General features: G+C 54.4%; 2 protein-coding genes and 1 non-coding gene across 10 annotated transcripts in view, besides 8 other annotated features; all 3 read right to left on the reverse strand.

Moving 5' to 3' along the window:
• Nucleotides 1-11,147, reverse strand: part of TFEB (transcription factor EB) — a 52,246-nt gene extending 41,099 nt beyond the window's left edge. For 2 of the 7 annotated variants that reach the window (NM_001271943.2, NM_001271944.2), the window contains exon 1: nucleotides 10,274-10,532. Coding sequence is in view for 1 of the 7 variants with exons in the window: in NM_001167827.3 (NP_001161299.2) it covers nucleotides 11,070-11,089 (20 nt within the window). In the remaining 6 variants the exon portion in view is untranslated. Of the gene's footprint in view, nucleotides 1-7,572; nucleotides 7,692-8,587; nucleotides 8,778-9,236; nucleotides 9,326-9,823; nucleotides 9,985-10,273; nucleotides 10,533-11,069 lie in introns of those variants that run through there. The other 5 variants (NM_007162.3, NM_001167827.3, NM_001271945.2 and 2 more) reach the window with 5 other exon arrangements.
• Nucleotides 7,631-7,710: an enhancer, noted in NCBI's record as "active region_24525". NCBI's record gives its function as "activates an Ori minimal core promoter by ATAC-STARR-seq in GM12878 lymphoblastoid cells {active_cell/tissue: GM12878}" and the evidence as "EXISTENCE:reporter gene assay evidence [ECO:0000049][PMID:35858748]".
• Nucleotides 7,728-8,424: an enhancer, noted in NCBI's record as "H3K4me1 hESC enhancer chr6:41700542-41701238 (GRCh37/hg19 assembly coordinates)". NCBI's record gives its function as "activates a minimal SCP1, AML or CMV promoter by ChIP-STARR-seq in primed H9 embryonic stem cells {active_cell/tissue: H9 hESC(primed)}" and the evidence as "EXISTENCE:reporter gene assay evidence [ECO:0000049][PMID:30033119]".
• Nucleotides 7,728-8,430: a biological region, named in NCBI's record as "H3K4me1 hESC enhancer GRCh37_chr6:41700542-41701238".
• Nucleotides 7,781-7,830: an enhancer, noted in NCBI's record as "active region_24526". NCBI's record gives its function as "activates an Ori minimal core promoter by ATAC-STARR-seq in GM12878 lymphoblastoid cells {active_cell/tissue: GM12878}" and the evidence as "EXISTENCE:reporter gene assay evidence [ECO:0000049][PMID:35858748]".
• Nucleotides 8,321-8,430: an enhancer, noted in NCBI's record as "active region_24527". NCBI's record gives its function as "activates an Ori minimal core promoter by ATAC-STARR-seq in GM12878 lymphoblastoid cells {active_cell/tissue: GM12878}" and the evidence as "EXISTENCE:reporter gene assay evidence [ECO:0000049][PMID:35858748]".
• Nucleotides 8,478-8,534, reverse strand: MIR10398 (microRNA 10398). Its single transcript, NR_162107.1, has one exon. It is a non-coding gene; the product is annotated as a microRNA 10398 (primary transcript).
• Nucleotides 9,081-9,520: a silencer, noted in NCBI's record as "silent region_17188". NCBI's record gives its function as "represses an Ori minimal core promoter by ATAC-STARR-seq in GM12878 lymphoblastoid cells {active_cell/tissue: GM12878}" and the evidence as "EXISTENCE:reporter gene assay evidence [ECO:0000049][PMID:35858748]".
• Nucleotides 9,651-10,180: a silencer, noted in NCBI's record as "silent region_17189". NCBI's record gives its function as "represses an Ori minimal core promoter by ATAC-STARR-seq in GM12878 lymphoblastoid cells {active_cell/tissue: GM12878}" and the evidence as "EXISTENCE:reporter gene assay evidence [ECO:0000049][PMID:35858748]".
• Nucleotides 10,221-10,690: a silencer, noted in NCBI's record as "silent region_17190". NCBI's record gives its function as "represses an Ori minimal core promoter by ATAC-STARR-seq in GM12878 lymphoblastoid cells {active_cell/tissue: GM12878}" and the evidence as "EXISTENCE:reporter gene assay evidence [ECO:0000049][PMID:35858748]".
• Nucleotides 11,148-11,634: 487 nt separating the features above from the next.
• PGC (progastricsin) lies at nucleotides 11,635-22,321 on the reverse strand. 2 transcript variants are annotated; one of them, NM_002630.4, is made up of 9 exons: nucleotides 22,200-22,321; nucleotides 19,582-19,732; nucleotides 19,321-19,438; nucleotides 18,195-18,313; nucleotides 17,214-17,413; nucleotides 15,415-15,534; nucleotides 14,723-14,870; nucleotides 12,654-12,752; nucleotides 11,635-11,928 (listed from the first exon to the last, which is right to left on the reverse strand). In NM_002630.4, the coding sequence occupies exons 1-9, from the start codon at nucleotides 22,256-22,258 to the stop codon at nucleotides 11,776-11,778; spliced, it is 1,167 nt and encodes a 388-aa protein (NP_002621.1). In that variant the 5' UTR covers nucleotides 22,259-22,321; the 3' UTR covers nucleotides 11,635-11,775. The 2 variants fall into 2 exon arrangements, with proteins under 2 accessions (NP_002621.1, NP_001159896.1); NM_001166424.2 differs by lacking the exons at nucleotides 11,635-11,928; nucleotides 12,654-12,752; nucleotides 14,723-14,870; nucleotides 15,415-15,534 and adding exons at nucleotides 15,762-16,151; nucleotides 16,720-16,767.
• Between the last annotated feature and the right edge of the window lie 575 nt (nucleotides 22,322-22,896).

Below are 22,896 nucleotides of genomic sequence, written 5' to 3' on the forward strand. Positions count from 1 at the left end.
TTTCAGATTCCAAGGAGGCTGAGGCTCAAATCACTTAAGTGACTTCCTCGAGGCCATGCAGCAAGTTTATGGCAAATCTGTTTCCTGGCTCTTTTCCTAGATCAGAGTTTCTCAACCTCAACACCAGACACTCAGGGCCAGGTAATTAGTTACAGGGGCTGTCCTGTGCATTTTAAGATGTTTAGTGGTATCCCTGGCCAATATCATCAGACATTGGCAAATGTCCCCTAGGGGGACAAAATCACCCCTAGTGGAGAACTACTGCCCTAGAAGCACCTAAAAGATGGGCACCTGCCAATTCCAAATTGAACGGTACACCTGCTGAGGGCTCTAGCCTGAGAGTCTCCCCCTCTCCCCCACCAGATGTGCTAGGCAAGAGGGCCTGAAGGGTGATGGGTACTCTGTGGTTCAGTACCCTCTGGGAAGAGGCTTCTTAGCCCCAGCAGGCACTGCCACTTAGGGGGTCTCCCCACAAGACCAATATCACCTTCCAACTCCCAAGCTACATGCCAACCCCCTTCCTGGCATTCAATATTACCCTGATCTTTCAACCGTTTTGATCATATATTCCTATCAGTAAAAACTTTTGAGCACTCTCAATATATGCTTCTTTCCTTGTAAATTGCTTATATATACCCCGATGCATGAATATATTATAGATGTCAGCAAACATACCCCAAAATTATATATTTTTAAAATGAGAATGAAAATGCAATACACCAGGATGAGACATGTTACACACTCACCATCATGGCAGAAATTAAACTAACAAGACCAAGTGTTGATAAGGCTAAGGAGCAACAGGAACTCTGTGGGCCACTAGCAAGGAGTAAAGTAGTACAACCACTTAATAAAATATTTACTGAAGTTGAAATATACATTAAAGGCCAGGCCCGGCGGCTCACGCCTGCAATCCTGGCACTTTGGGAGGCCGAGGTAGGAGAATCGCTTGAGCTGGGGAGGTGGAGGTTGCAGTGAGCTGAGATCGCGCCACTGCACTCCAGCCTGGGCAACAGAGCAGACTCCATCTCAAAAATAAATAAATAATAAAAAGAAAAGAAAGAAAATTAACAGACTACGGCTATACACAACATAAGTGACTCTCACAAATACACTGTTGGGTGGGAAAAGCCTGACGTAAAAGAACATGTCCAGCGCCATTCCATCTGTATTAAATTCAGAGTCAGGCAAAACTAAACTCAGCTAAGGGATGCAGACATAGGTGGTTACATAATAAAAGAGGCAAGGAGCTGATTATCGTACAGTCAGGATAGTGATTACCTCTGGGGGTGGAGGGCACATGAGTTGATTTTGGCGTACAAGCTACATTCTGTTGTTTATTCACCTGGGTGATGGTTGCCTAGGGGTTCACTTTTTTTTTTCTTTAGATGGAGTCTTGCTCTGTCACCCAGGCTGGAGTGCATTGATACGATCTTGGCTCACTGCAACCTCCACCTCCCAGGTTCAAGCGATTCTCCTGCCTTAGCCTCCCAAGCTGGAATTACAGGTGCGTGCCACAACACCTGGATAATTTTTGTATTTTTAGTAGAGATGGGGTTTCACCATGTTGGCCAGGCTGGTCTCAAACCCCTGACCTCGTGATCTGCCTGCCTTAGCCTCACAAAGTGCTGGGATTACAGGCGTGAGCCACCGCACCCAGCCAGGGGTTCACTTTTATAATTATTTACTACATTATATGTGTATGTTTATGCTTTTTAAGCAACTATGCTATATTTCACAATTTTAAAAGAAAGAAAAGAATGAGATATAAGTAAATAGATACAGTATTTTCTTCCCATACCTAGTTTCGCAAAACACTATAATTAGATCCAAAGAAGTGGATGACAACCTATAGTTAGGCACAGGTCTGGAGTAGTGATAATGCTTGGGGCTGTCTAGGGAGGGTCCCTTCCCCCAGTTGGCCCAGGCTGCTGGCTGCCCCTCAACCCACAGGAGCCGACTACCATAGCCTCTTTCACCCGCCACCCCGCCCAGGATGTCCCAGCCACCACACACCCCTTCCTGGCCATGGGTAGGGGGTTGCGTCAGGCTGGGCACCTTCGCAGCCACCTCACCCTACCGTGGACCATTCCTCTGGGCCCCTGACAGCAGGACTTGGAGGCTGACTGTGAGAAAGGTACTGGTGGGGTGGGCCCTGGTCATCCTTTGAACACATCAAAAGAAGGAAGGTGGCAGAGAAGGAAATAAAGAGGAAGGAGAGAAGGGGAGACAAAGAGCAGGAGAGAGAGAGATAGTCCAAGGCTGCAGATGCTGTGGAACTAGATGGAGGCTCAGAGGGTGGCGGAGGGTGGAGGGGAGAAAAAAGGCTTGTGGCCAGGCAAGGTGGCTCACGCCTGTAATCTTAACACTTTGGGAGGCCGAGGCGGCTGGATCACTTGAGCCCAGGAGTTTGAGACCAGCCTGGGCAACATGGTGAGATCCCATCTCTACAGAAAATTTTAAAAATTAGCCAGGTGTAGTGGCACGTGCCTCTGGTCCCAGCTACTTGGGAAGCTAAGGTAAGAGGATTGCTTGAGCCCAGAAGGTTGAGGCTATAGTGAGCCATGATTGTGCCACTGCACTCCAGCCTGGGCAACACAGAGAGACCCTGTCTGCAAACAAACAAAAAAGAAGGTTCTGGAGGTGGGAGGAACAGAGGCACTGCCCCCAGGTTCCAGGCCCAAGCATGGAGGCTCAGTCACAGGCAGGTCCAAGGAGGCCTGAGCTGTCGGCCCTGATCCAGCACCACATCTCCCCTTGGCCCCAGAGCTTCCAAGTGGCAGGTGGGTGGCTCAGAGCCTCCTTTCAAAGGCTCCAGCAGCCTCTAGTCCTCCTGGAAGGAAGGACTTGTCCAGAACGTAGCCTGCAGAGGTGACCCCCAGGTGAGAAGGCCCAGGGAGCAGTAGAGTAGCCCTTCCTGGGGCCCAGAAGGTGGAAAGGGCTGAGGGCCTAAACCACGCTGAGTCAAGGTCTCTGTGCCAGCAAGAGGCCCAAGGAGAATGCTCTTCAGGGCAAAGGGCAGGTATCACCGCGCTTATGTTGTTTAGTACATTAGTCTACACTAGCTTCTCGCATTCTGCTCCTCTCTGCCCTCTGTGGTTACTAAGATTCCCTGGCTAGGACATCGGCACCTTGCGGGAGAAGCTGTGATCTTGTTCCCACCCGCCCTGCTTGGCCAGCCCAGTGCCAGGTACCTCTGATGTGCTCAGTACATGCCTGTTGACACTGAAGGCCTTGTGCTGCTGAATCCCTGGGCCTCGATCCCCTCCTCTTGACAACATGGGGGCAGCGCCAGCTGCCCTCTGACACCCCCAGCTCTACGGTTCCAATTAGCCCCAAAGCAAGGCCAGCCAGCACCGTCCTGGCAAGGCAGCAGAAAGTGCACCTGGCTAGAGCTGGGAGGGGACAAGAGGCGGCAGGGGGTGGACAGTATAGTGTGTCACCTCCTGGCCACTCTGCACCCCTCAGGGACTGTGGGGGGCCGCGGCAGGTGCTGTCCTCAAAGCAATTATAAACAAGGCAAAGGACAGGCTGTGACTTCCCTTGGCAAACAGGAGAAAACAAACCGGAGCCCCACCCCACAGACCCACTGGTAGAACTCGGGGAGGGGGGGTTGGGGGAGGTGCTGGCAGACTCTCTGTGGGGAGGAACAGACTGTGAGCCCTACACCAGGAGGAGGCTGGGCCTGGATCACTGTGCGGGGAGGGAGACAGGGCAGAGGCAGAGGGCTCAGCGCCTTGTGGACCTGTGGGCGAGGCCCCTGGGTGTCAGCTGGTGAAGCACCTGCAGGGTAGAGACGGTAGACAGAGCATTTTTTTGGTGTCTGCATTTCTGGGCACACAATGGGGGCTCAATCCCATTCTCTCATCCATTCCACAAAGATTTATTGAGCAGCCACTATATATGAGGCTCTCTTCTAGGTGCTAGGGGTACGGCACGGACCAAAACACAGCAAACCCCTGTGCCCAGTCACCTGAGGACTGGCGGGCTCAGACACCAATCTCGCCCCCACTCCCGGCCCCGCCTCGCCTCCCCTGCAGCAGGGCTGTGGGACCTGCCACCTCTTCTCACCTCCTACCAGGCTTCACCCCAACTCCCTCCAGTTTCCACAAACAACTCCACACCCCTGCCCCCAGGGGCCAGCCCCCAGGCTCTCCCAACCATCCACTCTCTCAAGGCCCAGGACCACCTAGAAGATGACAGAGACTCCACTACCTCCAGCAGGGACCCTCCCCCTACCCTCCCTACATCTCTGGTCTGGGAGAGGAAAGGAAAAGGGAACAGCTTATTTCTGTGTGTGTCTGTATCATTTTTATTGTTAACAACAACTACGATTCAAGCTGGAATCAAATACTTGCCCTCCATAGGGTGGGAAAGTGAAATAACAGGAAGTATTTTAAGAGCCTCCCTTCAACAAAGTGAGGGTCCTCTCTGAACACCTCCCCAATTATTGCAATAATGCTACTTTAGCTCCAAGCACCTTCACAGCAGCTTCAGACCCTGACGCATGTTCTGAGGCCCCTCAGCTAGTGCCATCCTTGTTTGTCCGCCTCATCCTGCCTTCATCAACCAGTGCACAGTTTTAAGCACTTGTCCCAGAGAGTGGGACCAAGAGCTGCAAGGCCGAACAGTGGATAGTTTCAGGGGAGGTGGGGACAGGTGGAGAAATGGGAAGGACTGACTGTAGAGGGGACACCAAATTTTCTCAGAAGTGGTCCATGCCCCTGGCGACCTGCCTTCAAAAGGGGACAGGCCTACCAGGCCCAAAGTCAGAGACACAGAACCCAGGAGAAGGACGGCTCTCACCTGGGTAGCTGCAAAGCGGCAGGACCCGAAGGCAGTGGTTTTCCAGGTGTGCTCTGGGGACCAGCAGCATTAGCATCACTAGAGGACTTGTCAGAAATTCAAATTCTAGACCACATGGAATTTGCAGAAACACCGGGAGGGGCCCAGCATCTGTGTTTAAACAATTCCTCCAGGGAGTTCTCATGCATGCCCAAATTTGAGAACCACTGCCCTAGAGAAAGGGCATTGGAATCATCCCAGAAAAAAAAAAAATTAAATAAAGATGCCTAGGCCCCTCCCCAAGAGATTCAGATGCAATGGTGTTGTCTAAGAGTTCCGCAGGTGATCATAATACCCAGCCAGGCTGCAGTAAGATGGAACAGTGCCCCGGTCTCTCTGAAATGTGTGCCCTGATGGAGGGAAAGATTTGCTTATAGGGAAGGAGTGAGGAAGGGCTACGAGGAGGGAATATGAGCCATGGGTTTCTGGATGGAGAGTCTGGTGGAATCCCTGGATTAATCCCTACAGCACCGCATCTTACTCTGGGACCACTGCTGAATGCATAAGAGCCAACCAGGTGGCCTGCATGGCCTGGCAAGCAGGTGCTGGATCTTATGGGGCCAGGTGGCTCTCCCCATAAGAAAGCTGGACAAAAGATGGGTGGCCAGACCTCATTTTTCCTCCTTAAGCCCACACTTAAGAGCCAGGAAGGAAAGCTGGTGATGACCCTGCCTGTTGCCTCTGCTCCTCTTGGCTCTCACCCACGGCTTTGCCATTTCACAGCAAAGCATTTCCTGTGGGCATGATAAGTCCCAGATCCTACCCTATCACTGCGATTTTATCTCTGTCCCCAATGACATCACAGCCAAGGGGATCTGTATCTCTGGTGCAGTGTGGAGGAGGGACAGATGATAGGAGAGCAGGGGACAGCCACAGCTAGGAGTGCATGGTCAGTGGCCAGGCCAGATGCTACCCAGGGAAACCCAAGTGGCAGGGCAGGGGTGGTAGAGATGCCTCAGGCATTGCCAAGCCCCCTGCACCGTCTTATTCAACAAGGAGAGGAGGCTGGTGTGGTGGGACAGAGAGTGGTGGGAAGCCCCACGTAAAGCATTACATCAGAGAACATTAGACACATGGAGAGGCCTGTTTGCAACCCATAGGTCTTTATTCCTTCCCTAGAGCTCTCCATGCCTCTATTTCCTCACTTAAGAATGAGAAATAAATAACTCACTGAGTCATAACAGTTCATTAGGCGCTATTCTAAGTACTACATGTGCATCAATATCGGCATACTCAGCCCTCACGACAGCACTAGTAGGTGGGTGCTGCAAGAACCCTCACTTTTTAGGTGTGGAAACTGAGGCACAGTGGGGTTAAGCAGCTTGCCGAGGCTCACACAGTGTTAAGTGGCAGAGCTGTGCAAGCCACATAGCCTGGCCCCAGAGCCCACGTTCTCAACAACCCCCTGACCAGGTGACACTGGTCCAGTGCTCAATATATAGTGGCTATGGCTGTCCCAAGAAAAACTTCCTGGTTGCTTCACCAGGACCAGTCTTTAGCTAAAGCTCAATTCTGCGGACTGCAGCATCTCCCAAACACCCCTAACAACCCACCCCCACCACCCCTTGCTTTCTCTTCCTTTTTCTTCCTCCCCGGTGCCTTTGGCAAAGATTTGTAGAAGGTTCGCTTTGGAGGGAATCCCACAGATGATCCAGATTCACAGATATGGAAACTGAGGCTGAACAAAGCAGAGACCTGCCCAGCCACACAGCCAGTGAGAGGCACAGTGGGGTCTCTCGACTCCTGGTCCAGTGCTCTTATGACTTTACTGCCGTCCCATTCTCACCCAATGATCCCCACAGCCTCTTCTGCACATCTGATTAAACAAGGGCCTGCTGAGGGCTGCACTGTACGTTAATGGACGTGGAATGCATGGCACAAAGCCGGGCACCTAGAAGGCCATCAGTAAGGATGCCTCCTCCCTTCCTGGGTGTCTGGGGCTTCCAAAGAAGCCCAGGAAGTCTTGCCTGAACCAGTCTCCTTCCCTGGCCAGTCAAGACAGGTTCCAGCCGGAGGTCCTTTGGTCACCCATGCTGGCAGCTCAGAAGAAAGGCCAGGAAACAGGTATGGTGCTCAGACAGGGGCCTCAGCAAGTTCCCACCCTGCTTTTTTATTTTTATTTTTTTCATACAAATTCTTTTTTCAATTGAGTCCAGGTCTCGCTATGTTGCCCAGGCTGGTCTCGAACTCCTGAGCTCCAGTGATCCTCCCACCTAGGCCTCCCAAAGATCTGCTTAGAGCAGGAAACCCTGGATAGAGAAAAGAAGGTCCCCAGACCACCACACCCCCACCTTTTAAGAGAGAACTCCTGGGAAACCCCTTGAAGAAGTGGTCTTCTTTAGGGACTGAGAACACAGACTTTGGAGTCAATTGGACCTAGGTTAAAATTCCAATCCTGTCACTTCCAGGCTGTGTGATTTTAAGTGACTTGCTTAACCTCTCTGAGTAAGTAAGTGTAATGCAAACAGTAATTCCCACCTCACTCTAAACACACAATAAATGTTGGCAACTATTGTATAATCAATCTTATTATAATATTGTTCTAGTATAGCATAAAAGAAGAGATGAATATTCTATTAATATAATCTTGTTTTATTGTTACACTCTCATAGACACACATGCACAGTTCATCTCTACCCACATTCCTAGACACTTTAACCACACACACAAACTCACAACCATTACATAAACCCCACACCAACCCAGAAAGCAACATCATGTACTCACCATGTACCAGGCACTGCCGCACCCTTAGTCCTCACAACAGCCTGTGAGGTGGGTGTGTTTTCATCTCCCTCCTCTCAGATGAGGATCCACACTGTACATGCATATATGTTCACTGCGTCCTGGGACGTGAACATTTCTGGCAGCTCTGGGAACCCTGAACTCCCACCCTCCGATCAGAGGAGGCCAACCCAATTTCCATGGTCATCTCCAGGGCAGCCCCAAGCCAGGCCCCAAGTGCTGACTGCCCTCCATCCCCAGGACAAAGGCCCAACCTGGTTTTCATGACAGCTGTGGTTGGGGAAACCCCTGTTGCCTGCAGAAACCGAGTTGACTTTGAAAAGGAAGAGACAGAACCCAGGGGGTGGCTGGGCTACTCCCTGTGGGGGCAGGTGCTAAGTAACTCTATTAACTCTGGCTAATGATGCAATTACAGTCATAAACAGAGCCCCAGGAGGGCTCAGGGCCAAGAGCTAGACCCTCAAAGGGCAGCCAGACTTGAGGGGTGGGAGTCCCCTTCCACCTACTTCTCAGCTTTCCAGAAACAGGCTGAGGAGGCCTGTGACAGCGCACGTGGGACCCTGGAAGGGCTCCTGCCTGCCCTGGCCCACTCCCTGCCCACCTCTGACTGTGAGTCACCAGGCCATTAGCCCGTAAAAGCCCAGTTGGCTCTCCCTAGATTCAGTGCCCACCTAGGGTGTCCCCTGCCCTATCCCCTGAACTCCTTCCAGGGCACCCGGAACCAAGATACCTGGGTCCCCATTTGGCTCCGTCTCCCAGAGCTGAGTTGAGGACAAAATAACCCTGCAGCTGTAACAAGCCTTGTAAATGGTAAGCACCATTGGCTTCCCTCGGGGAGAAGCAGAGCATGGAGTCACCCAAACAGCTCTGCCCTTCATTTACACCCTCTGGCTCCCAGCTCTCCGGGCCCCGCGGCCAGGAGGCAGACGGAGAGAAGGGAGCCAGGCGAGTTGCTCGTGGTCCTGGGGCTGGGGTCACCGGCATGGTGAAAGCATACCGTCAGGTTAGCAGGCAGGGACCTCAAGGCAGCTGACCCTTCCCTTCCTCTGCCTCTGCCTCTCCTGGCCGGCCAGGAACTATTGCTGGCTGTCCCTCCCCGGACAGTGAGCTCCCTGAGGGGAGGGCCTGAGGACTGTCTCCCAGTCGTGGCACCAAGAACTGCGTTCTAACCGAGCGCATCCGCATCTGTCCACCCAGAAGGAAACCAGAGACCAGCCTCCAACCTCATCCCCAGCTGCCCAACAGTGCCAGGTCTGGGCCAATGGAATCTCGGCCAGGGCGGGTGCAGGGGCCTGAGGCCACACCCCAGAGGTGTCACTGGGGGCCTGCATCCGTCTTGTCCCTTTCCCTGAGGGATGAAGCAGCCCCTCACTCGGGATGGGGGGAGGGCAGAGGATGGGAGCTGGGCAGTAATTAACCTGCACTTCCCCAGCGAGCTCTAAGCCAAAAACTGCGCTCAAGTTGAGTGCAGAAGCTCCGCGCTGAACCGTCCCCAGAACAGACAGGCGAGAGAACGACGGCTGGAGCTGAGGGGGGTTCGGGGGAAGGCGCAGCGGCCAGGGGCTGGCGGAGAGCGGAGGGCGGGGGCCTGGGCCCAGCGGGGTTCGCGCAGACAAGCCCCGCCCCGGGCTCCCTCCCTTCCTCACCCGGGGCGCGGGGCTGGGGCGCGCCAGGCGGCTGCGGCGCGAACCTGCTCGCGCAGCCCGGAGCAGCTCGGGGCAGCCGTGCGTGAAGCCGGAACCCCGCGCGGGGAGGGGGCCGAGCTGGCATCTGCCCGCTCCCTTCCAGGAGGCGAGCGGACGCGCTGGGCCAGAGCTGGTCGGGACAGCCCAGGGGTGGGCGGCACGGACTCGGGGGATCGGGGGGAAGGGGGCGTGTTTTCCGGGATTCGGGACCGAGACGGGGGGAGGGGGAAACTCGGGGGGCGGGCAGGCAGCTGGGAACCCGGGGGGAGGCAGACAACGGGGCGCACGGAGGGAGCGCTCCGGGGTTGGTGTTCCCCAGGGTCATAGAATAACCCACGGGGAGAAAGAGACTGCCCAGGGACTCGAGGGGACGGGGCCAGGGGCGGCTTCTTCAAGAGACCGAGCTGGAGGAAGGGACGGGAAGGGAGGGAGAGATGGTACTTCCACCCGCCCCCCCATCAGCCCAGCCCCCGGGGCGTGGCGCCGCTCTGGCCCTCCCACTCCCCCCGCTGGCCTGGCCAGACTCAGCCCCCGCACACCTCCCCTACCTCCGACCCCCTCTCAGGCATCGCCGGCCCCAGCCGTGTCCGGTGGAGGGGGAGTGGGCGCGGGGCCCGCGCGTCCCTCAAACTTCTTGCGAGTTCACCATCACGCCTCCCGCCCCTTCGACTCCCAGCTCCGGGCCGGGAAGGCCCATGCCCGCCCGGCCCCTCCCGCCCGGTTACATAAGGTCGCGGAGAAGCCGCCCCCGGCCCGCGCCTGAAGGGAGGGGCCGAGGGGGCTCCCGGCTCGGCGGGCAGCGCCGCTCGGGCCACGCGCTGGGCGCCCGGGGGCGGACGGACTGCGGGTGGGTGGCGGCGCGCACGGTCCTGCTTCCCTCTCCTGCCGGCATCCCCCACCCTCCCACCTGTCTCCGGGACCCACGGGATAGGGGCCAGGGAGCCTGGGTCGGGGGTCCCGGGCCCTCCTCGTGCCTCTCGCTCCCCGGTCCCGCTCACCTCGCTCTGAAGGTCAATCTGTCCGCCGCCCGCGCCCCGCGGCTCCGGCAACTTGTCGCAAGTTCGGGTGCCTGGCCCGCAAGCTGTGCCCGCCACCTGCTCCCGGCCTGCTCCGGCCCCGTGCCACCAGGGAGGCCCGCCCCGTCCGCCCTTCCCGCCGCCGTCGGCGCCGCGGCCGCTCCCTGCGTCCCGCCCGGGCCGCCGCCTCCGCTGTCACCGAGCCCCGCGCCCGGCGCCCGGGCTCCGGCTGTCACTCCACGCACACTTCCCTCCGCGCCCGGCAGAGGGCAGCACCCGCCCCGCCTCCCAGCCGCTCTGCCTCGGCGCCCACTGGGAAGCGTAGTTCTCGCTGCAGTCCCGCTAGGCACGCCGGGATTTGTAGTCCCGCTCAGCGGACTAAGGCTTACAGGGAAAGAGGCTCTTGACTTGGAACCTCTGATCCACTTCTACCTCTTTGCAAGTTTTCTTTCTCCTCTCAGTAAAGTCCCAAACCAGGGCTCACTAAGATACATTCTGTAGCCTGTCCGACCCCCTAAAAGGAACCTGCAGCCTGCTGTCCTTCGGCAGTCTAAGAAAGAGAGGGTCCCAGATGGTGTGCTGTTGCCATAGAAACTCCACCTGTGGCAAATTCCAGCTTCTCTTCAGGAGTAGGGTGCAGGACCTGGATCTTGCACTTTTATCCCTGCCCCGATCATAAGGGGCAAGGCCAGGGTGAGCCTGGCGAAGTACAGGGTAAAATATGACAGTAGAAGGCAGCCTGCCCCCATTATGGGTTCTACATTCACGCCCCACTCACCAGCCTGAGCTTGCTGTCATGTTGCTGGACAGAAATTGTCTGAGCTCCTTTCATGTCACCTTCCCTTGTTGGAAGTTCACAGGGTGCGGAGGCATCATTCTCTACTTTCTCCTCTTCCCCGCCCCTTTTTCCCTGTCTCCTCCCCCAGCCCCTCCCCTGCTTTTCTTCTCCTTCCCCTCCTCCTTTTCTTCCTCTCTCTCCTCCTTCCCCACATACAATGTTGCTCCTGGTTTCTGGATCTTTTGCTAAGAGGCTCCTGAGGAGGACAGGGATGAAGTCCAAAGGGACAAGATCCCTTGCTGAGTTGGTTCCAGCAAATAGGCTCGATTTCTCTGTGACTCAAGTAGGAACACTCTCCCCCGGCCCGCCACCCACCCACCCATGATGGCGCTACCACTGTCTTCCCTTTCCAGGGGAAAAGTATGAACTTTAAGCTCTGAGGGTTACAGAGCCCATCCCAAGCCATGCCTTAGGTCCCATTTCTCTTAGAATCACAGTGACCCACCAGGAAACCTTGTAGCCACTCAGGGAAAACTCCCTTCCAAAAACAACAGGATGACCAACATAAAGAAGAACTATTTATTATTAGAGAAAGTCCAGAGTCCAGAAAAAGAAGGCTGAATCCAGAGTGGAAAGACAGATACAATGCCCTAGGAGGGTGCAGGGTCAAGAGGAAGAGGGGAGCCCACGTGTCGAGGCAGCAAGTCTAGGCGGCAGTGGCAAAGCCTACTCTGTTGTTGCCCAAGTCGTAGACGGAATAGTAGGACCTGAGGAAGACATCCCCGAGGATCCACAGGGGCTGGCCGTTCTGGGAGGACAGGTAGGTGGGCTCGACTCCCACGGTGCAGTAGCCGTTGTTCTGCTCAACAAAGAAAGGCAGCACTCATTCATTTGTCCACACATGAGCTGGGCCCTGCTCAGCTCTGAGCCCTGGGCTGGGAGCACAAGTGCAGAGCTGAGGGAGCCAGGGTCTCTGCCTTGAGGGCTCATAGGCCAACTGAGCCACCAGAGCAGAGCGGGTGGGAGGATTTCTGGAACAGGTACATTCAGGCTGCCGTGGTCCTCAGCAGGGTCTCCTCTCCCCATGATGGGAAACTTCTCTTCCCACAGACCTCCCTCCTGCTCCCAATTTGGAGCAGATCAGCCTGGTGGTTAAACCTTGGAGCCAAACCAACTTGAATTCAAACCTTAGCTGTGTCGCCTTGAGTCAGTTACTCAACCTCTCTGAACCTCCAAGTTTTCATTTGTAAAACAGAAATGAGTATCTCCCTCATTAAATACTGTGACAATTAAATGGGATCATGAAGCAAAGTGCTTTGCACAGTGGTCTGCCCTAGTAAGTGCTCAACAAAGAGCCCAGTGCCTCTCCCCACTAATTAATAATAATTGATCATAGATGACAATCTTCTATTTCATAGCCTTGTTCCAGAGAAGGGGGTTTAGAATCAATGAGTGGGGAAGATAAATGAGTACAAGCGTGGAGTCGGAAAATGGCACAAGGCAGGAGACCCAGCATTTCTGGCTCCCCAGCCCTTCCTCCCAACCCCAATCATGGTGGCTCAGCCTGCAGGGACCAGGACTTACACTGAGGATATAGGAGGAAGGTGGCAGAGGGAACTCCACACCATTGATGATGAAGGTCAAGCTGGGCAGATTCTGAATGCTGTTACAGTTCACGAGAAACTGCAAGAGGAATAGGTCCCTGGTTAACTCATCCTCCCCCTGATAGCACCCACCAGCCCCATCATCTCAGCCCCTGGATCCCAGGCCTGAGCTCCGGGCCCAAGCCCTAAGCCTGTTTTTGGACTAGAGAATGCAGCTCCAAGGGAAAGTCCTGTGTAGGTAATGCTGGCATTATCCCATGGACTCATAGAATGGGTGTGATTTGGAGTGATCCCAGAGCCTCCTAACTCCTCTTGCCTCGATTTCCCATATTAAAGATCGAACCTCTGCTCTTTCTCTGCAAGTGCCTATATACATATATATGCATATATATATGCATATATATATACATATATATGCATATATATATACATATATATATGCATATATATATGCATATATATATGCATATATATATGCATATATATATGTATATATATATGCATATATATATATGCACACACACACACACACACACATACACAGGCATGAGCCATGATGCCCAGCTTGCAAGTGGCATTTTAAAACACGCAGATCTGGCCGGGCATGGTGGCTCGTGCCTGTAATCCCAATACTTTGGGAGGCCGAGGTAGGCAGATTGCTTGAGTCCAGAAGTTCGAGACCAGCCTGAGTGACATGATGAAACCCCGCCTCCACCAAAAATACAAAAATTAGCTGGGCATGATGGCACACACGTGTAGTCCCAGCTACTCAGGAGGCTGAGGTGGGAGGATTGCTTGAGCCCAGGAGGCGGAGCTTGCAGTGAGCTGAGATTGTGTCACTGCACTCCAGCCTGGGTGACAGAGTGAGACTCTGTCTCAAAACAACAATAACAACAACAACAACAACGACAAAAACAACACAGATGGCTGGGCGTGGTGGCTCACATCTGTAATCCCAGCACTTTGGGAGGCCAAGGCAGGCAGATTACTTGAGGTCAGGAGTTCGAGACCAGCCTGGCCAATATGGTGAAACCTCATCTCTATTAAAAATACAAAAAAATTAGCCAGGCGTGGTGACATACACCTGTAGTCCCAGCTACTCAGGAAGCTGAAGCCAGAGAATTGCTTGAACCCAGGAAAGTGGAGGTTGCAGTGAGCCAAGATCACGCCATTGCACTCCAGCCTGGGCGACAGAGAGAGACTCCGTCTCAAAAAAACAAAAACAAAAAACAAAAAAAAAAGAAAAACACAGATCTGCATAATGAGTACCCCACTGGTCTCCCAAAATTAAAATTAGTGGTAGTGGGCTTGGGTTAATTAAACAAACCCTTGGCTGGACTCAAGACAGACAAGCGCAGGGGAGCATGGCCCTGTGGAGGTGAGAGAGGTGGGGATAAAGGGTCAGCCCTGGTTGCTCACATACTCAGCCCCACATTCCAGTCATTTTGCTCTTATCCCAAAGTCCAGCAAGCATTTCCTCTGTTTCTGCTGAGTGACTGCAGCTCAGAAGAAATTCCTGCCTAATAGTAACCTCCTTCTCCCCTTCAGCACAAGCAACTGGCCCCGCCTGAACAAGCCTCCAGGCCCCCATCCTGCACACAGCCCCAGTCGTCCCAGGTCCCCCTGCCTCCAGCGCCTTGGGCAGATAGAGGCTTGGAGGTCAAGAGTTAGGCTTTTTTTTTTTTTTGAGACAGGGTCTTGCTTTGTCACCCAGGCTGGAGTGCAATAGTGAGATCACGGCTCACTGCAGCCTCCACCTCCTGGGCTCAAACAATCCTCTCACCTCAGCCTACCAAGTAGCTGGAACTACAGGCGCATGCCACCGCACCCAGCTAATTTTTGTATTTCTTGTAGAGACAGAGTCTCGCCATGTTGCCCAGGCTGGTCTCAAACTCCTGGGCTCAAAAGATCTGCCTGCCTTGGCCTCCCAAAGTGTTGGGATTACAGGCATGAGCCACGGCGCCCAGCTGGCTATTGTGTTCCCAGGAGAAATCATGAATGCCTCTGGAGTAGCCTCCTGGGGAAGAGAGACACCCTCACCAGTCACACCTGTCCATACTCATCCTCCTGGGCCCCTGTGGCCTGCAGAAGAGCACTCATGTACTGCTGGGGCACAGTGAGCAGAGAGGTGCCTGTGTCCACGATGGCCTGGCAACCCTCAGAACACCAGCCGGAGGCCTGGCCGCCGATGAGGAACCTGTATGGGGAGAAGACAGGCAGCCTCAGGACTCCCCCAGTTCAGGGCAGCTGGGGCGGGCTTTCCCCACCACTGTGGGACAAAGAGCTACAGCTACTTTCTTGAGGAAAGTGAGGACCCTGCAAAGATCAATCCGGCTATTCCCCTGCATCATGCCATGGGACCTAGTCCTTAAAAGTGTCAAGGAAGTTTCTAAAAACACTGAAAACCAGGTCCACTGATTCATTGTAAGGACTTTGAGCAAATTAGTTGCTAACACACCTTCGTTTCTAATCTGTGAGCCCATGATGGGGCTGGACTGCAGGGTCCCTAATGTTCGGGAGTCCAGGTCCTGCCCCTCCCTATGTTGTCCACATCCACTCTCTTCTCCAGGCTGAGCTGGGCTTTGTCACCCCTGCAGAGGACAGTTGTGGCTTTGTAGGAGTAAGCCTCAGGGGTCCTCTGCCCCATCCCAGAGCAGTGCCAGACTGTGTGTGTGTGTGACATGGCCTGGAAGCCCACTCCAAGGAAGTGCCACATCCCCAGGGCCCCACCGCAGACTCACTCTTCAATGCCAATCTGCCAGTAGAGTTCCTGGGTGACAGGCGCCCAGTAGATCTGCCCCGTGTACAGGCTGCTATCCACACCCCCAAAGACAACCGCTCCCCCGCTGGAGCCCTGCTGGCTGCAGGAGAGAAAGGGAAGGGGAAGTCAGGGAGTGCCATGGAAAAGGACTTTCCTCCTGAGCAGTCACCTCCACAGGGAAACAGAGCTCCTTCCCTGATCCAGACGGGGGCTCCCTGAGGAGAGCACTGAGTCTCCCTTCAGACTGGGGCTCCCTGAGGACAGGGCTGTATCCCTTAGATTGGAGCTCCCTGAGGATGGGGCTGTGTCCCTTAGACTGGGCCTCCCTGAGGACGAGTCTGTGTCTCCCTCAGACTGGGGCTCCCTGAGGATGGGGCTGTATCCCTTAGATTGGGGCTCCCTGGGGACTGGGATGCGTCCCTTAGACTGGGGCTTTCTGGCCAGGCCTTGGAATTCCCAGCGCCTCAGGCTCCCGAATGATGCTGACTTCTGGGGGGTCCCCTAGTGGTTGGGACCCCCAGCCCACACTCTGCTCTCCTCTCCCCTCCGCTTCCTGCCTCTGGTAGACATGTCACCGGGATCCCCACCCCGGCCCAGCTTGTTACTTTTCTGCTGAGATTGGAGACAGGTAGGGTCTTGGTGAAGGGGGTAAGGATATTCCATGTTTGTTCCAGAGGCTTCTCTGGTAGCTGGAGTGTGGAGCTGGGTGGAGCTGCTCTGTTTACACGCAGAGGAATCATAAACAGAGGTGGAGAGGAAGTTAGCAACATTAGTAACAGGGTGAGGTCCTTGAACTTCAGATTCCCCAGATTAGTCCAATGAAGCTAACTGTCTCTAGAAAGTGGCTGCCTAAGGCCGGGCGCAGTGGCTCACACCTGTAATCCCAACACTTTGGAAGGCCGAGGCGGGTGGATCACCTGAGGTCAGGAGTTTGAGACCAGCCTGGCCAACATGGTGAAACCCCGTCTCTACTAAAAACACAAAAATTAGCCGAACACAGTGGCGCATGCCTGTAATCCCAGCTACTTGGGAGGCTGAGGCTGGAAAATAGCTTGAATCCGGGAGGCAGAAGTAGCAGTGAGCCGAGATTGCGCCACTGCACTCCAGACCGGGTGACAGAGTGAGACCCCATCTCAAAAAAACAAAACAAAACAAAACAAAAGCAAGTTGCTGGTTAATTCTGAAGAAGAACAAAGAAAAGCAGGCCCCAGGCCGCTCACCCCCACCCACTGCCTGTCTCACTAAATGCCTGCACATGCTTGTGTTGACTGGCAAGGATAACAACCTGCTAGGGGTCAGCAGTGGACCTAGACCAGAAGACTCCAGGACCAGGCTAGAACAATAGATAAAAGGAGATGAAGCAATACATTACTATGCAAAAGAGGGATACAGGTAGAAAACATTCGGTCAGAAGGAAGTGAGCGAACTGCCCCACCCGCTTCTCCACCAGGAAGCCTGTCCAAGGGGTGCTGAGAATCAGAGCAGCAAAACTCAGGGCAAAGTTCAGCTGCTGTGGAAGAGATTCATTCCATCGTGGCCATGGAATGCAAAGACAAGTCGGAGGGGACTGGGGACAGGTGCAGGGATGGGGTGTGGTCGGGTGGCTGGGAGAGGATTCGAGAGGAAGCCCAGGAAGGAAGGCCCTGGAGCAAGACTGACTGGAGCCAGATGCCCGCTGGGATGCCTCCAAACCCCAAAGCATTGAGCACTGAGCCTCAGTCGTCCAGGGCGGCCGGGGGAGCATCCCGGGAGGTGGGGACTGGCCAGCTGGTTGCTCACTTGCTGAGGTAGACGCTGAAGACGGGGCTGGTGAGGGCGCCCTCCTGCACCATGCCCTGCATAGCTGTGGTGGCCTCATCCACGGACAGAGCAGGGTAGGCCAGGCCCATGATGCCATCAAACTGCGCATAGACGAAGTTGGTACCAGGCTCATTCTCACTCAAGCCGAACTCCTGGTTGGGGACCTGGATGCTCTGGACCTAATGGAGACACAAACGAGGGGAGGTGACCAGTCTGACTCCACTCACCTCCTCCAGGTTCCCCTAGAGACTCCTCAAGCCTCTGTTCATCCCTTCCTCACCTCTGCCCCCTTCTTTTTTGTTTTGGTTTTCTTGTTTGTTTGTTTGCTTGTTTGAGACAGAGTCTCGCCCTGTCACCAGGCTGGAATGCAGTGGCGCAATCTCAGCTCACAGCAACCTCTGCTCCCCTGGTTCTAGCGATTCTCCTGCCTCAGCCTCCCGAGTAGCTGGGACTGCAGGCGCGTGCCACCACGCTCAGCTAATTTTTTGTACTTTTAATAGAGACAGGGTTTCACCATGTTGGCCAGGATGGTCTCTATCTCTTGACCTCATGATCTGCCCGCCTTGGCCTTCCAAAGTGCTGGGATTACAGGCGTGAGCCACCGTAGCCAGCCACCTCTGCCTCTTGACAGGTGTTGCAGGAGCCACCTCTCCTGCGTAGCCTTCCTTGACTGCCACAGCTCACCTCCTCACCCGTCTCCTTCTTCTCTGAGCTCCCCAGGCCTTATGCTTCTTAAGGAAAAGGACCATGTCCCTCTTGTTCAGTATGGTGCCCCAGTGCCTAGCACATGGTGGCCACCAGTGAGTGTTGGGGGAGTGACTGAATGGACCTGTCTTGTCCTGCCTTCCTGTCCTGCACACCAGAACACTAGCATTCCACCGTGTTTCAGGAGAGTCCATCTAACTGTCCCCTCCAGCTTATAGCTCACAGCCCCAGCCTCCACTCCCCATGCCCACTCACAGTCAGGGTGTCATAGCCAAAGAAGCCGGTGAGGCTGCCACTGCCATACTGCAGGGAGAAGGTCTGCCCATTGGTGGAGTAGGTGGACGACTCGCTGGGGTTGAAGCGGGAGTGACTGGCTGCAGGGGAGTCAGGGCATGGGGAGTCAGGCCGGCTGGGGCAGGGCTGCTCAGCTCTCAGGCCTGCCGGGTTCCCACCTCAGCCTCTCGCTCAGGCTGCGCTCACATCCTGGGACCTCAGCACCCCTGGTTGCCAAGTCAAGGGGTGGCATTGGAAGGCCCATGGGAGCTGGCCAGCCTTGTCCCCAAAGCCCCTTCTGACTTACAGAATCTTGGGATGCCTCAGGACTGTGGCCTCCCTGTGGACAGGTTTGCAGAGAACCCAGCCCTGAGTCCCTGGTCCCCAGCAAAGCACGTGGCTCACAGCAGTGCTGAGTAATTACTCATCAGATGAAGAAGTGAATGGGCCTGCACCACATCCCAGCATTCCCCCCAGCCCTCCAGGGCATCCCCAAGTACTCCCCACCTTCACTCATCAAGAAGCCAGTCATAACATAGGGTGGGGACATCAAGGGACCCCTTGGGCCAAAGGTATCAGGACCCAAACACCAAGGCTTCAGCAGGGACCAAGGCAACCTTAAGAAAGCAAACACTGCCTGTCTCCCAAAACCACTATAGTACGGAGCCCACATCCTATATTGTTCTGTTGTGTCTCTTGGAGACACTCAGTGAGAACTTAGTAAATACTGAGGTGGAGCAGAATAGAATGGAGTAGAATGGAGTGGGATGGAGTGGGATGGAATGGACTGGAAATTAGTCACATGGAATGGAATGGCACTGCCCAGAGTAAACAGAATGGGGAGAGTGGAATAAAAGGGAGTGGGGAGTTAGGGGCTGGCATAAGCAAAGGGATACATATTGGCAGGGAAGGCAAAGGGGCCATCCAGCTGCAGGACCAGCATCTTTCCTCTGGCTTGGGCATGCTGTGTGGCCCTGCACATGTCCCTGGTCCTCCCCAGGACTGAGCTCCCCTCAGTCCTGAGCTCCCTCTGGAAGTTTGGCCCTCCCCAGAGGGTATCAGTGCCTTGCCCTGCCAACCACCCCTCTCTGCCCAGCCCAGCACTCACTGCAGGCCTGGCTCTGGCAGTAGACAGAGGGCACCCACAAGTTGGAGGAGCCGGTGTCAAAAAGGACCAGGAAGTTCTGGGGTGGAGTCCCGATGCTGATCTCACCAAAGTAGGCAGCCTGGGGGCCATGGAGCAAGCTGTTAGTTCCAGAGGGATCCAGGGGCCCCAGGCTCCTCCATGGGCAGAGGAGTGAAGGGACCTGCCCCTTCCCTCCAGCCCACACCAGAGAGAAGGCTACCGCCAGAAAGGGTCAGGACTCACATCCATGTAGGCCATGGGCTCGTAGGTCACGCTGAGGTCACCAAAGCGGTACTTCCAAGCAGGATCATACTTGTGGGTCCTCAGGAACTCCCCCAGCAAGCCCTTCTCCTTCATGGTCTCACGGATAGACTTAAATTTCTTCAGGGGCACTCTACAGAAAGGTTGCATATGAGGCAAGGCCCTCCCTCCTTCCTCTCTTCCCACTCCTCTCTTTCTCTCTCTCCTTCTCTTAACTGCATGCTTCAACCTCCCTGCCACTCTGTTTGTTCCCCCTTGTCTGTGTGTGTCTTTTTCTCTCTCTCAGCCTTTTGCTCTCTGTCTCTGTCTGTCTGTCTCTCTGTGTGTGTGTGTGTGTGTGCGCGCGCGCGTGTTTCTTCCTCCCTTTGCCTCTTCCCCTCTTTCTTACAAAGCTCTTCTCAGCACTTGCTCTAAGATTCAGAAAACCATTCATTTCACCATGCATGCACTCCTCACCTCATCTCAAGGGTCCTCCTATCTCCCTGGCCCTTTGCTGTCAAATATCCCATAGATTCCTCCCCAGGAAAGGAAGAGGGACTTTAGGCTTTACCCTTTTCAGGATATGTACTTTTTTTTTTTTGAGACGCAGTTTCACTTTTGTCACCCAGGCTAGAGTGCAATGGCACAATCTCCGCTCACTGCAACCTCTACCTCCTGGGTTCAGAAAATTCTCCTGCCTCAGCCTCCCGAGTAGCTGGAATTACAGGCGCCTGTCACCATGCCTGGCTAATTTTTTGTATCTTTAGCAGAGACAGGGTTTCACTATGTTGGCCAGGCTGGTCTTGATCTCCTGACCTCGTGACTCGCCTGCCTAGGCCTCCCAAAGTGCTGGCATTACAGGTGTGAGCCACCGCACCTGGCCCAGGATATGTAGTTTTTTTTTTTTTTTTTGAGACAGAGTTTCGCTCTTGTTGCCCAGGCTGGAGTGCAATGGCTTGATCTCGGCTCACCTCAACTTCCACCTCCCGAGTTCAAGCTATTCTTCTGCCTCAGCCTCCTGAGTAGCTGGGATTACAGGCAAGGGCCACCATGCCCAGCTAATTTTGTATTTTTAGTAGAGATAGGGTTTCTCTATGTTGGTCAGGCTGGTCTCAAACTCCCGACCTCAAATGATCCGCCCGCCTTGGCCTCCTAAAGTGCTAGGATTACAGGCGTGAGCCACTGCGCCCAGCCCAGGAAATGCACATTTTTAACAGAAGATTTCAGGCCAGGCACGGTAGCTCACGCCTGTAATCCCAGCACTTTGGGAGGCCGAGGCGGGTGGATCACTTGAGGTCAGGAGTTCGAGACCAGACTGGCCAAGATGGTGAAAACCCATCTCTACTAAAATTACAAAATTAGCCGGGCATGGTGGCGCATGCCTGTAATCCTAGCTACTCGGGAGGCTGAGGTGGGAGAATCGCTTGAACCTGGGAGGCAGAGGTTTCAGTGAGCCGAGATCGCGCCATTGCACTGCAGCCTGGGCAACAAGAGCGAAGTTCTGTTTCAAAAAAAAAAACAAAGAAGATTTCAGAGATGGCAAAGTTCACCCCAGAGTTCCTTTCTACGGCAGCCCTCAGGCACCTGGCACCAGCTGGATGTGACAGAGCATGGAGCAACGGCAACAGCACTAGCTGGGACTCAGGACACAGAGTCCTAGTTCTGTCCCAGCTGCTAATCGCATGGCCTAGGCCCCATCACTGCTCCTCTCAGGACACCAGGACCACGGGAAGTTGGCCTGGGTGGTCTGGAGCACAGATCAGCTCTGGAGTTGGAACTTATAAATCACCGTTTCTGTCCCATCCTATGGGCTCAGTCACACCCTCGGCACTCTCCTTCCCAGACTTGCTTGCTGCCATTGCTTGGGAGTCTCTAGGGGTCCACTCTGGCCTTGCTCTAGGCTCCAGAATTCTGCTTAATCCCCATTCCCTGGGGACTCTGCATTCTCCAGAAATTCTCTGCTAAACCCCTTCACCCTGAGCTATGAAGACTAATTAACCACCTCTACCAAATATGCATATTGATAGGAGTTTCTGAGAGGAGCCAGCTCTTGGCCTCAGGAAGTACTCTTGGGTAGAGAAATAACAGGCAGGATGGCAGGCTGGGCGCCTTCCTGATGGCCTGTGAGCCATGCCATCTACTCCAGAGTTTTCTCCTGACCCCTCAGGTGTAGAGATTTACATTTACTGGTGTTTCTGCTTAGATGATTTTGGCATCTGCCAGTAAATTTTCAGCCTTAAAGCAACTTTTAGAGAGGATAGTGGATAAGATATCCCTTATCCAAAAAGGATTGCTCCCTTCTGTGAGAAGAATCCACACCTGCCATTCAAGGGCTGCTTGGGCAGTAGTCACCCTTACCACCTCTGTTTCAGGTCCATCTTTCCTCATCAGATGGGGGAAGGGATCGTGCTTTTCCCTTTGATAGGAAGTTTCCTGAAGGCAGGGGCTGTGTCTCCTTCCACCCATGTGTCCTGTCTAACATCAGCAAAGGGAGACTTCCCTTCCCCTAGCAGAAGTCCCAGAGTAGAGACAGGCAGGGTGTCCCCTGGCCCAGTTGCCCTTTGCAGGGCTTTAGGCTCCCATCCAGGCTCCCTGCACCAGCAGCCAGATCCCAGACTCACTTGACCACTGCTGCCTCCAAGAGCTGGAGGCAGACCAAGACCACCACCATCCACTTCATGATGCTGGTCCCCAACTGGCCACAGAGGAAGAGCAGCTCTGAGTTCTGCAGTCGCAGTGGAGTGAAGACCTGGGCACTCTTTCCTCTTTTATACGCCCAAGATTAGTCTAATCGCTGCCTCCCTGCCCTGGGCAGCCATGACCTCAACCCAGGGTGTACCCTGTGCTTCGTGTATCGTTTCTGTGTATTTTTCCTTCTTGAGGGTGGCCGCAACAGACTTTCATCTTATTGACTTTTTGGTTCAAGCATCGGAGGCCAGGAGGTGCAAGCGATAAGAGAGAAAGTTGCCGTAAGATGGAGTGGTGAAGATTACGTCTTGTTCCCAAACCAGAGGCATAATGTGTGCATTTAGGGACGAGGGCCAGAAAAAGGTAGAGGCAGAGTGCTGGGATAGATAGGATCTATAGCCAGGGTTTCGCAACCTCAGTGCTGTCGACATTTTGGAACAAATAGTTCTTTGTTGTGGGCCCCATCCTGTGTACTATAGAATGTTTAACAGCATTCCTGGCATCTACCGACTCGATGCCAGGAGCAGTCCACCCATTGTGCCAACCAAATATATCTCCAGGCACTGCTAAGTGTCTTCTGGATGGGCAAAATCATTGAGAACTGCTTGTCTCTAGGTTATGTACTTGAAG

The sequence above is a fragment of the Homo sapiens genome, chromosome 6 (assembly GCF_000001405.40).
Source record: "Homo sapiens chromosome 6, GRCh38.p14 Primary Assembly".
NCBI classification, from domain to species: Eukaryota; Metazoa; Chordata; class Mammalia; order Primates; family Hominidae; genus Homo; species Homo sapiens.